Genomic DNA, 13434 nt, shown 5'->3' with positions numbered 1-13434 from the left:
GGCTGCCTGCACATTTAACATCCCTCCAAATTGTGCTCCTCATTCTTGGGATGGGCATCTGCTCTGATTCTGATGGTATTTTTGCCAGTTTCCCCCTAAGGAACTAGAGCTTTATGCCTATCTCAAAAAAGGTGATGAAGGCCTTCTGAGATGGTAACCAGGTAGCCTAACATCAAAGTACCACCCTCTTTGGATTCCCTACTCTTTAATCCTGTTGCCTTTAGCTATTAAAATAATGCACAGAAAAAAAGCAAGAGAATTAGCTTACTTATGGACTGTAAATGTTTTTAAAAGCCTATATAAAATGTGGCTGGGCACGGTGGCTCACGCCTGTAATCCCAGCACTTTGGGAGGCCGAGGCAGGTAGATCACAAGGTCAGGAGATCGAGACCATCCTGGCTAACACGGTGAAACCTCATCTCTACTAAAAATACAAAAAAATTAGCCAGGCGAGGTGGCGGGTGCCTGTAGTCCCAGCTACTTGGGAGGCTGAGGCAGGAGAATGGCGTGAACCCAGGAGGCGGAGCTTGCAGTGAGCCGAGATTGCGCCACTGCACTCCAGCCTGGGCGACAGAGCAAGACTCAGTCTCAAAAAAAAAAAAAAAAAAGCCTATATAAAATGTGATCAATCAAATCTAATGCTACAGATTAAAATGATACACAATTAGGAAACATTATAATGGCTGGATCCGACTCTAACACCTGAAATCACTTATCAATACTGAGATCACTAAAAGTAGGATAACCAAATTTTATGTGCCTTGTCATGTGGTACAAAATCAACGATACAGAACCATGCATGGAATAGTCTTGAACTTTAATCTAATCAGGCCTCTAGGTCTAACCGCCAAGTAATAGGAAATGCAGGGGAGAAGGGATGCATTTATAACCACAAAGATGCAATCAACCAACTCTTGAATATAGGAGATGCACCGAGTGACCCCATTTCTTCAACAAAGCATGAAAAAAATGAAAAGAGAGAGCTGTTGTTGATTAAGAGACTGCTTTAAACCAACAATTCACACACAAAAAAAGAAACAATATTTGAGCCAATTGGAGAAAATTGAACTTAGGTCATTAATCGTGACCCTATGAGATTATTTTTATTTTTATTTTTATTTTTTTTTTGAGACAGAGTCTCACTGTCGCCCAGGTTGGAGTGCAGTGGTGCGACCTCGGCTCACTGTAGGCTCCGCCCCCGAGGGTTCACCCCATTCTCCTGCCTCAGCCTCCAGAGTACCTGGGACTACAGCTACTTGATCTCCTGACCTCACGATCTCCTGACCTCGTGATCTGCCCGCCTCGGCCTCCCAAAGTGCTGGAATTACAGGCGCGAGCCACCGCGCCCGGCCAAGATGATTATTAATTGGCACTTTTGCTACATGTGATAATGGCATTGTGTGCTTGTGCTTAAAAAGTTAGGATTTTGGCAGGGTGCAGTGGCTCACGCTTGTAATCGCAGCACTTTGGGAGGCCCAGGTGGGCGGATCACCTGAGGTCAGGAGTTCGAGACCAGCCTGGCCAACATGGTGAAACCCCATCTCTACTAAAAATACAAAAATTAGCTGGGCATGATGGTGCGCACCTGTAATCCGAGCTACTCAGGAAATTGAGGCAGGAGAATCACTTGAACCCGGGAAGCGGAGGTTGCAGTGAGCCAAGATCGCGCCGCTACACTCCAGCCTGGGTGACAGAAAGACTCTGCCTAAAATAATAAATTAATTAATTAAAAGTTCTGATTTTAGGGGTAAAATGGTAGATTTCTAGGATTTGCTTTAAAATACTCAACCAAAAAGGGAAGAGGGAGAGAACAGATGAAACAAGAGTAGTGATAATTACTGAATTTGGGCGTAGGTTACATAGGATTCACTATGTCATTCTCTAGACTCTGGAGTATGTTTGAAATTTCTATAAGTAAAACAAACTATAATTAACACCAGAACCAAATAAGGGGATTTCCAGAAATGCAAAAATGATTTGACATCAAAAATATTTTACCATGACAAAAAGTTAAAGGAGAAAAGCCATTTGATCACCTTAACAGGTGTTGAAAAGGTCTTTGAAAAAGTCAATATATAGTCCTAATTTAAATAACCAAAAAAAGGAAAAACTACAGAGGATTTGCTAAATATATTAGGGTACCTATACCTGATAAAACTATGCATTTATTTAAAATGATGTTGTGGAAGAATGACTAGTAACATGAAAATACATTCATGAATGTACTAAGAGAAAAAATTTTTACCCAAAAGAGAAACGTATGACTTAATAGAATATTAATATATCTACAAAAATGTTAAGAGTGGTTATGGACCGGGTGCGGTGGCTCACGCCTGTAATCCCAGCACTTTGGGAGGCCGAGGCAAGCGGATCATGAGGTCAGGAGATCCAGACCATCCTGGCTAACACGGTGAAACCCCGTCTCTACTAAAAATACAAAAAATTAGCCGGGCGTGATGGCAGGCGCCTGTAGTTCCAGCTACTCAGGAGGCTGAGGCAGGCGAATGGCATGAACCTGGGAGGTGGAGCTTGCAGTGAGCCAAGATCGCACCACCGCACTCCAGCCTGGGCAATAGAGCGAGACTCTGTCTCAAAAAAAAAAAAAAAAAAGAGTGGTTAGATGTGGGTTTGGGTTTGGGTTTGCTTGTGACTTTCATTTTCTTTTTTGTACTTAGCTATGTTTTCCAAAATGTCTATGGCGAGCCTATGTTATCTTTTTAATCAAGGGAAAGCATACAATGTTATTTTAATTTTGAAATTTCAGACTCTTGTGGTCATTTCTGCAGTTATGAATACACCAATGAACTCTCATCTTACCAACATTTTTTTTTTATTTTGCCCAGAAGTCTATCCATCCCAAGAGACTTGTCAAATGCCTTGTTGGAATTAAAATCCATAGTGTTTGTAGTATTCCCAATGTAATATCATAATTGTAATAAAAATCAGAGGCCCTGTTAAAAAATAGTGTTCATATTTGCTATGGTTTTAAATATCCCCTTCAAAACTCACGTGAAAATTTAATTGCCACCGTAACAGTGTTGGGAAGTGGCGCCTTTAAGAAATGATTAGGTCATAAGGGTATGCCTTATAAGTGAATTAATGAATGCCACTATCACAGGAGTGGATTAGTTATCATGGGAGTGGGCCCCTGAGAAAAGGATGAGTTTGGCCCCATATCCCTTCTCCATGATGAGAGCCTGCTCACCATGTGATGTTTTCCACTATGGGATAAAGCAGCAAGAAAGACCTCACTAGCTGTCAGCACCATGCTCTTGGACTTCCCAGTCTCTAGAACCATGAGCCAAATAATGTTTTCTCTATAAATTACTCGGTCTGTGGCATTCTGTTATAGCAGCAGAAAAGGGACTAAGACAGTATTCAATGTCTGGAACCACTCTGCAGTAATTAAATCATATCGATTGTATTTTAAAATAATTTCTATTTTACAACTGCATCCATATGGCACAAGGTCTGAGAAAATACAAAAATAGAATCAGTTTTCATATGGCAGGGGTTCAGGAACTTGTTTTATTATTATTTTATTTTAATTTATTTTTTTGAGACAGACTCTCTCTCTGTCTCCCAGGCTAGAGTGCAGTAGTGCGTGTCAGCTCACTGCAACCTCCACCTCCCGGGTTCAAGTGATTCTCCTAACTCAGCCTTCCGAGGAGCTTGAACTACAGAAACAGGCCACTATGCCTGGCTAATTTTTGTATTTTTAGTAGAGACAGGGTTTCACCATATTGACCAAGCTGGTCTCGAACTCCTGACCTCGTGATCCACCTACCTTGGCCTCCCAAAGTGCTGGGATTACAGGTGTGAGCCACTGTACCCGGGCTTTTTTTTTTTTAATTATTGAGACAGAGTCTCACTTGGTCACCCAGGCTGCAGTGCAGTGATGCAATCATAGGTCACTGCAGCCTTGACCTACTGAACTCAAATGATCCTCCCACCTCAGCCTCCTGAGTAGCTGGAACTACAGGTGTGCAACACCATGCATGGCCTATTTATTTTTATTATTTTAGAGACAAAGTCTCCCTGTGTTGCCCAGGCTGGTCTTGAACTCCTGGACTCAAGTGATCCTCTCACGTCAGCCTCCCAAAGTGCTTAGATAACAGGCATAGATAACAGGCATGAGCCACCACACCCAGACTTATTTTTTATTTTTTAATGATATTATAAAGAACCAGAAACTATATAGTACATTTTAGAATAACTTTTATCCAAAGTGAATTAAATTATTAAAATTTCAGTAAAAGGGGTAGTTTCAGTTCTCAAAAAAAGGTAGTACTTCATGAGATAATGACTTTGCTGTGAGTATATAAGAGATAAACCCATATTTTTTAACTAAAGAATAAGTGAATTACTAGAAAATAGAATTAAGTTTTCTTGTGAATTGTGTTGCTAAAAATCTAATTGCATGGACCATGCACTGATAGTTTAGAAGTACTGAGAAGCCCCCCAGCAAAAAAAAAAAAAAAAGTCAATTAAGAAGAAATCAACATCCTCCTAAGTTGTATGTTTTCCAAAATGCAGTCATTGAGCCTGACACTGTAGTTCCATTTGTAAATAAGATCGAGCTTCTCTCTATAAGTGGATTTGGTTTATTTTCAGTCTAATTATTAAATTTGAATGGTAGATATAAACTTGCTTACAAAAGGGCATTTCCTACGTTAAAGTTTTACAATTAATCTTTAAAAATAAGCTCCAGAGGCCGGGCGTGGTGGCTCACGCCTGTAATCCCAGCACTTTGGGAAGTCAAGGTGGGCAGATCACCTGAGGTCAGGAGTTTGAAACCAGCCTGGACAATATGGTGAAACCCCATCTCTACTAAAAGTACAAAAAATTAGCCAGGTGTGGTGGCACACATCTGTAATCCCAGCTACTCAGGAGGCTGAGGCAGGAGAATCGCTTGAACCCGGGAGGCAGAGGTTGCAGTGAGCCAAGATTGCACCACTGCACTCCAGCCTGGGCAACAGAGCAAGACTACACTGTCTCAAAAATAAGATAAAATAAAATAAATAAAAATAAAAATAAGTTCCGGAGATACTATTGAGCTGAAGGAACAATATATCGGCTCTGTCCTCATTCAGTAACTAAAATCCCCCAATTATCACAAAGATTATTGTGATTTTGGGGGAACTTGGTCTGATGAAGGTCAGTTGCACTGCATGCTAAGTGAGATGTAGGAATATTATTTAGCACTGACTATCAACCTTTCTGCTATATTTAGTTTTTTGTATCCCTAAAAATATAAAATGGTCTTAAACATGATCATTTTCCACATGACCAGGGCAGACTTGATGTAAGATGATCCTTGGCTCTTGTGGCCTGGGAATATATGGTACTATGTTCTGGATTTTTCTTCTAATAATAGAAATACACTGACCCAAGTTCTCATGTAATCTAAATTAAACACATTTAATTTCTGCATAAATTGTTGAACTGTTATTTTAATGAATACATCTTACCCTACATTTTCTCATCTTTTTGACCCAAGTTTCAAACCACTGACTGAAGAAACATATAATACTGAAAGTGAGAATTTATAATACCAAAAGTTTCAACTTGAGCAAAGTTTTGACTAATATCATAAGACTTATATTAACAATAGTATCATTTATCATTTAATTCCAATGACTTCAAGAGCTACATGATATATCAAAGACTTTAACAAACTGCCATTTTTTAGTAGTCTTATAAAATGTTTGTTGTATGTTACATTGGTGTGCAAACATGCAGTTTTAGAAACTGGGAGAAAAGGCCGGGCGTGGTGGCTTACGCCTGTAATCCCAGCACTTTGGGAGGCCGAGACGGACGGATCACGAGGTCAGGAGATTGAAACCATCCTGGCTAACACGGTGAAACCCCGTCTCTACTAAAAATACAAAAAATTAGCCGGGTGTGGTGGCGGGTGCCTGTAGTCCCAGCTACTTGGGAGGCTGAGGCAGGAGAATGGCGTGAACCTGGGAGGCGGAGCTTGCAGTGAGCCGAGATTGCACCACTGCACTCCAGCCTGGAGCGAGACTCCCTCTCAAAAAAAAGAAAAAGAAAAGAAACTGGGAGAAAAGGCCAGGTGCGGTGGCTCATGCCTATAATCCCAGCACTTTGGGAGACCGAGGCAGCAGATCACCTGAGGTTAGGAGTTAGAGACCAGCCTGGCCAACAGGGAGAAACCCCGTCTCTGCTAAAAATACAAAAATTAGCCGTGCGCGGTGGCTCATGCCTGTAATCCCAGCTACTCAGGAGGCCGAGGCAGGAGAATCGCTTGAACCCAGGAGATGGAGGTTGCAGTGAGCTGAGATCGTGCCACTGCACTCCAGCCTGGGTAACAGAGCAAGAATCTGTCTCAAAAAAAAAAAAAGAAAAGAAAAGAAAAGAAAAGAAAGAAAGAAAGAGAAAGAAAGAAAGAAAGGGAAAGAAAGAAAGAAAGAAAGAAAGAAAGAAAGAAAGAAAGAAAGAAAGAAAGAAAGAAAGAAAGAAAGAAAGGGAAAAGAAAAGAAACTGGGAGAAAAGCAGAAAAGCAGAACATTAGCCTACTCTTTATTATAACAATTTTTTGCTTTGAGACGGAGTCTGGCTCTGTCGCCCAGGCTGGAGTGCAGTGGCACAATCTTGGCTCACTGCAACCTCCGCTTCCTGGGTTCAAGCGATTCTCCTGCCTCAGCCTCCCGAGTAGCTGAGGTTACAGGCACGCGCCTCCACGCCCGGCTAATTTTTCTATTTTTAATAGAGACGGGGTTTCACCACGTTGGCTAGGATGGTCTCAATCTCCTGACCTCGTGATCCGCCCGCCTCAGCCTCCCAAAGTGCTGGGATTACAGGCAGGAGCCACTGCGCCCGGCTATTGTAACAATTTTAAGGCAAAGTTCTAGATGCTAGTTTGTATCATACGATAGGATATTATAAAAGCATTAGTCTTTAGGGTTGACATTTTTGTGTTTTTGTTTCTTGCCAATCTAAAATTTATTAGGGGAGATGAAAGTGGATACACACACACACACACACACACACACACACACACAGCAGCAGCAAGTAGAGCCCAGTGGTAACAGTAATAAATTCTTTCACAGCAGAAGTAATTGTTTCCATTACCAAGTTATTCACATTTAATTTATTTGTGAAATTTGAGGTAAATGGTTCTCTTCAGGCCGGGAGCGGTGGCTCGCGCCTGTAATCGCAGCGCTGTGGGAGGCCAAGGCAGGCAAATCACCTGAGGTCAGGAGTTTGAGACGATCCTGGCCAACACGGTGAAACCTTATCTCTACTAAAAATACAAAAATTAGCCAGGCAGGCAGGGCACAGTGGCTCACGCCAGTAATCCCAGCACTTTGGGAGGCCAAGGCAGGCGGATCACCAGAGGTCAGGAGTTTGAGACCAGCCTGGCCAACATGGAGAAACCCCGTCTCTACTAAAAATACAAAAATTAGCCAGGTGTGGTGGCGGGCACCCGTAGTCCCAGCGACTCAGAAGGCGGAGGCAAGAGAATCGCTTGAACCCGGGAGGCAGAGGTTGCAGTGAGCTGAGATCGCACCACAGCACTCCAGCCTGGGAACAGAACGAGACTCCGTCAAAAAAAATTAAAAAAAAAAAAAAATTAGCCAGGCATGGTGGCGGACGCCTATAATCCCAGCTCTCCAGGAGGCTGAGGCAGGAGAATCACTTGAACACGGAGGGTGGAGGTTGCAATGAGCCAAGATCGCCCCATTTCACTCCAGCTTGGGCGAAAGAAAGAAACTCCGTGAGAAAAAAAAAAAAAAAAAAAAAAGTTCTCCTCAATTAAGCACTATCCTGGAAGATTTTTTTTCCAGAATCTATAGTGATAGCCATCCCCTCTCTCCTAAACTCCAGATCCATATTTCTACCTGCTTCCTGATCATTTCCATCTAAATTATCCACAGGCCATGTACAAACTTGGAACTCATCCACCCAACTCACCTCTTCCCCATGGACTCCTAATCTCAGAAAATCGCATTGCCATCGACGTAGCCCTGTGGGCGTGAGGGTAGGAAACTTCGTCTCACTGCCCATGCTTAGTTAGACACCAAGTCCCACAGAGCCTATGAAACATCCCTCAAGTTTATATAATCTATTATGTTACCAATGGGTTTATCCTATTCAGGTCATCCTTTCCTCTAAAGAATAGTATTTTGAAAGATGCTGAACAGAGCTCTGTTTCTGGCCCAGATGAAATAACAGTAACTGAATTTATTGTTCTTCATGAAACAACTAAAAAACTGAACAAACCTATGAAAGAATGTTCACAAAACCTTGGTCATCAGGCAACAAAGGACAATGATCCCTGAGAGATGGAAAACAAATAAGGTGCGCTCTGTGGTTTCCCCAGCTTTGTACCTAAGGAAAGCTTCCCAGCTTGGCACAGGGAGGGAAAAGCCAAGTGGAGCCCGACAGTCTCCCTGAGTTGAGGAGACAAAATGGTGAGTGTGAGAAATTCAAAGCAACCAGAATTCACTAGGGCAAATTGTCAGAAAGAAAAGAGCTGGAGCTCTGGAAATCTTCAGAGGGTAACCCTTGATGCTCAGCTGAGTACTGACCACCACATGCAAGTGAGAAAATTACCTGAGGCCAGGTTAAAAATAAATAAATAAACAACTCAAAATATTAATGAGTACAATTCCATAATCCTATATAGAGCTGAAAAACTCACCTGTGCCCACTAACCAGATTGGTAAACTTCATAATTCATACAACATCAGTTAAAATACTATGGCAAGAAAGGGTTTGCCACAGTAATGGGGAAAAGCTAGTCCCAGGTTAAACATTGCTTTGCTCCTGGCTCAGCAAGTTTTAAAGCCATACCCAAAATAATCTAAATTTATGAGCAATTTAGGCATAACTTGGAACAAAGCTAAATATTTATAGGAATATAAAATTATCCAACAATTAGATAGAAGACCACCTGGGAATACAGGTTCTATAGGCTTAAAAAAAATCAACAAGGTAAAAAATCACATCTGGCATCCAACCAAAAGTTCTAAGGAAAGAAAAGAAGCAGGAAAGGATGACCCATGATAAATACAAAAATCAATCAATCAAAATTGACCCAATATTCACATAGATGATAGATTTAGTAGATAAGGCCGGGCATGGTGGCTCATGCCTGTAATCCCAGCACTTTGGGAGGCTGAGGCAGGTGGATCATGAGGTCAGAAGATCCAGATGATCCTGGCTAACACTGTGAAACCTCATCTCTACTAAAAACACAAAAAATCAGCTGGGCATGGTGGCATGCACCTGTAGTCCCAGCTACTCAGGAGGCTGAGGCAGGAGAATCACTTGAACCCGGGAGGCAGAGGTTGCAGTGAGCCAAGATGGTGCCACTGCACTCCAGTCTGGGCGAGAGACCAAGATTCCATCTCAAAAAAAATATATAGATAGATAGATAGATATAAATGAGATTTTTAAAAAAGAAAGGAGAAAAAATAGTGAAACCAAAGTTGGTTCCTTTAAAAAAATCAATAAAATTGATAAACATCTAGAAAAATTGATCAGGAAATAGAGAAGAAAGAAATTACCATATCAGGAATGAGGTTAAAATGAATATTTGAACAATTTTATGCTAATAAATTTGACAATTTAAATGAACTGGACAAATGCCTTGAAAGACACCAACTATCACAGCTTACTTAAGAGAAAATAACTTGAATATTCCATTATCTCATAAACAAATTAAATTTGTAGTTAAAGACCTTCCAAACAAGAAAACTCCAGTCCCAGATGGCGTCATGAGTGAAGTTTACCAAACACTTAAGAAAGAAATAATAATTCAACACAAAGTCTCTACAAAAATTGAAAAGGAGGAAATGCTTCTCAACTTCTTCTATGAGGCCAGAATTACTCCATTATCAATATTAGAAAATAATATTACAAGAAAAGAAAATTACAGACAAAACTCCTTCATAAGCAAAATTAAAAAAAAAAATTTAACCAATTGAAACCAAAAATATATGAGAAAGATAATACCTCATGACCAAGTGGAGTTTATCTCAGGAATGCAAGGCTGGTTTAACACTTGAAAATCAATCAATGTAATTCAGCATACTAACTAACAAATAAGCAAAAAGATCATCTCAATAAATGTAGAAAGATCATTTGACAAAATCCAATGTGTGGGCCGGGCGCGGTGGCTCACGCCTGTAATCCCAGCACTTTGGGAGGCCGAGGCGGGTGGATCATGAGGTCAGGAGATCGAGACCATCCTGGCTAACAAGGTGAAACCCCGTCTCTACTAAAAATACAAAAAATTAGCCGGGTGCGGTAGCGGGCGCCTGTAGTCCCAGCTACTCGGGAGGCTGAGGCAGGAGAGGCGTGAACCCGGGAAGCGGAGCTTGCAGTGAGCCGAGATTGCGCCACTGCAGTCCGCAGTCCGGCCTGGGCGACAGAGCGAGACTCCATCTCAAAAAAAAAAAAAAAAAAATCCAATGTGTGTGCTGGTTAGAATGTAAAATTGTACAAACACCTTTAAAAGTAATTCAACAGATTCATAAAATGTTCCACATATATGTACCATTGACTTAGCCATTCCATTCCTAGGTATATCCAAAAATAAAAATTAAAAACACATGTTCATACAAATAAAAAATAAAAACATATGTTTTGCATATGGATTTATTTTTTATTTTTTGAGACGGAGTCTCACTCTGTCACCCAGGATGGAGTGCAGTGGCATGATCACGGCTCACTGCAAGCTCGGCCTCCCGGGTTCCCGCCATTCTCCCTGCCTTAGCCTCCTGAGTAGCTGGGACTACAGGCACCCGCCACCACACCCGGCTAATTTTTTGTATTTTTAGTAGAGATGGGGTTTCACTGTGTTTGTCAGGATGGTCTCAATCTCCTGACCTCATGATCCACCCACCTTGGCCTCCCAAAGTGCTAGGATTACAGGCGTGAGCCACTGCGCCCGGCCCAGCATATGGATTCTTATAACAACTTTATTTGTAATAGCCAAAAACTGGAATCAATCCAAATGTCCATCAATACATGAATGGGTAAACAAAGTGAAGTGCATCCATATAACAAAATACTACTCAGCAATAAGAAGGAATGAATTGTTGACACATGCAACAACATAGGTGAATCTTAAAATAATTATGCTGACTGAAATGAGCCAAATCAAAAAGAAAGCGTAGTTACTATATAATTTCATTTATATAAAATTCTAGAAAATGCAATCTAATCTCTAGTGACAAGGGGCAGATAAGTTGTTGCCTGGGGTGGGAGAAGGAGGAGGCATCACAAAATAACATAAGGAAACCTTTTGGGGGGTGATAGATGTATTCATTTTCTTAATATTGGTGATGATTGTTACTTGGGTACATACATATGCAAACCTTATCAAGATGTGCACTCTAAATATGTGCAATTTGTTGTATGTCAATTATACCTCAGTAAAGCGGATTTTGGGGTGGGAGAAAAAGGCTTCTAACTCATCTCCATGACTCCAGTATCTTGAATTGCCCAGGTGTCAAACTTGTAAGTGATTAGGTAATCTTGGATGTTCAACCCAGTTGAGCCTTCAGATGACTCCAGCCCCATTCACTGTCTGATTACGACTCTAGGAGAGACCTCAGGGGATATCCACCCAGCTAAGCCAAATCAGCCCAAAGAACCATTATGACCCACTAAGTTTTCTTTTTAGCCACTAAGTTTTGGAGAAATGCGTCACACAGCAATACATCACCAGAACAGTGGGTTTTAAGGTTTTATTTTTTTTCTCAATCAAACCTTTTCTATATACAGAACCTTATTGTTAAGTTGAATATAATAAACAGATAAAAGTAAAACTGCTGGCTGGGTGCAGTGGCTCACACCTGTAATCCCAGCACTTTGGGAGGCCAAGGTGGGCAGATCACCTGAGGCCAGGAGTTCAAGACCAGCCTGGCCAACATGGTGAAACTCTGTCTCCACTAAAAATACAAAACATTAGCTGGGCATGGTGGTGGATGCCTGTAATCCCAGCTACTCAGGAGGCTGAGGCAGGAGAATCGCTTGAACCTGGGAGGCGGAGGCTGCAGTGAGCTGAGTTCACATCCATTGCAATCCAGCCTCGGTCATAAAGCAAAACTCCGTCTCAAAAAATAAAAAATAAAAATAAAAAAAGTAAAACTGCTTTGGCTAAAATGGGAGTGGAAGAACCTAGATTTTTACTTGGCCAGGCTTCCCTGAGTGGTTCCTGAGCCAAGAGTGGCTCTCGGAGAACCTTTGTGTGACCCACCCCCACCCCAGAATTTCTCCTTTCTCAGATGGGAATTGAGGACATAAAGATTAAGTGTCACACACAAGTTATCGATCTGTGATGAAACTCTAGGTGTCTTTATTCAGAATTAACTTCACCATGCTATTGAGAATAGAAAAATGTTGTAAGCATATGTAAAATATCAGTTGTTGAATCAGAATAAGAGTGAAGTAAAAAAAGTCAGAAAAGCACACTGTGTCTATCTTGACAAATTTAACCACAAATCAACTTTTTTACCCAAGATTAAAGGAAATATTGGGTATTTGATCGGATATTTCCACTAAGATACGTTAGCACTGGTATTCCTTAATATATATTGGCCATTTTTTGTGTTCGTGATACATGAAAACAACCCGGGAAATAGGCTGAATTTGAAATAAAAATAATTTATTAGTTTTAGTGAATAAAAACACCACACCCTGCATATACTGCCAAATGGAAATATCTAATTCTTCTCAAGAGGCCTCTTTCACCCTTTTTTTCTTTTTTTGTGCTAATGGTGCAAAAACAGTGCAGTAAATTCTGTGTAATGGCCTTTCATATAGTATATTGAAATCAAATGCTCAATTTTCAATCTCTACCCGAGATTTGAAATGATTATGCTGATAAGTAGTAAAGAAAATAGATCTAGAAGAGACACACTTCCAACTAATATGATAAATTTATTTCAAAATAACATGAGTCCTAAAAACAAACACAGCCAAAATATACCTTAGAACTTCGCTATAAATCTCAGTGGACGGTTCGCTGAACTACAGCAGTAGGAATAATGTTTCTATGGTAAAAACTTAAGTCTTGCCTAATGCTGAGTTGAGAAGACCATTTCATTAACACAGGTATGACTTAGGATGGCAGCAGAGCCAAACCTGTGTACACTGAAACTGCCATTTTCTACATGTAAATGTAATCTTACATTCTGTACCAGCACTCCATCTCAAGCTGATATTTACAACTGTTTGCTCCCCGACTTGGTATCTCAGTACTCCATTTCTGCAGCTGTAATTGAGTTTCAAAGTTACACAGCAATAATTATTTTATAAAATTTTTATTACAGTAGGCTAAATGAATGCAAAAGCAGAATAATCAATTTATAAACTAAAATTAAAATTATAGACACTATATAAATGGTTTCTTTTTAAAACTCTTCAATTAAGCACTGCTTCTACCAGACCAAGAAT

The 13434-nt window shown here is 40.7% G+C and overlaps 1 long non-coding RNA gene across 1 annotated transcript in view, besides 1 other annotated feature; it reads right to left on the bottom strand.

The window, feature by feature from the left end:
* LINC00501 (long intergenic non-protein coding RNA 501) overlaps positions 1–13434 on the bottom strand; it is a 28994-nt gene that overhangs the window by 2736 nt on the left and 12824 nt on the right. The gene's annotated exons all lie outside the window — the stretch shown is intronic.
* Positions 2555–2604: a silencer, noted in NCBI's record as "silent region_14906". NCBI's record gives its function as "represses an Ori minimal core promoter by ATAC-STARR-seq in GM12878 lymphoblastoid cells {active_cell/tissue: GM12878}" and the evidence as "EXISTENCE:reporter gene assay evidence [ECO:0000049][PMID:35858748]".

Source organism: Homo sapiens, chromosome 3 (assembly GCF_000001405.40).
Source record: "Homo sapiens chromosome 3, GRCh38.p14 Primary Assembly".
Taxonomy (NCBI): domain Eukaryota; kingdom Metazoa; phylum Chordata; class Mammalia; order Primates; family Hominidae; genus Homo; species Homo sapiens.
This window is presented reverse-complemented; position numbering and strand designations above follow the sequence as displayed.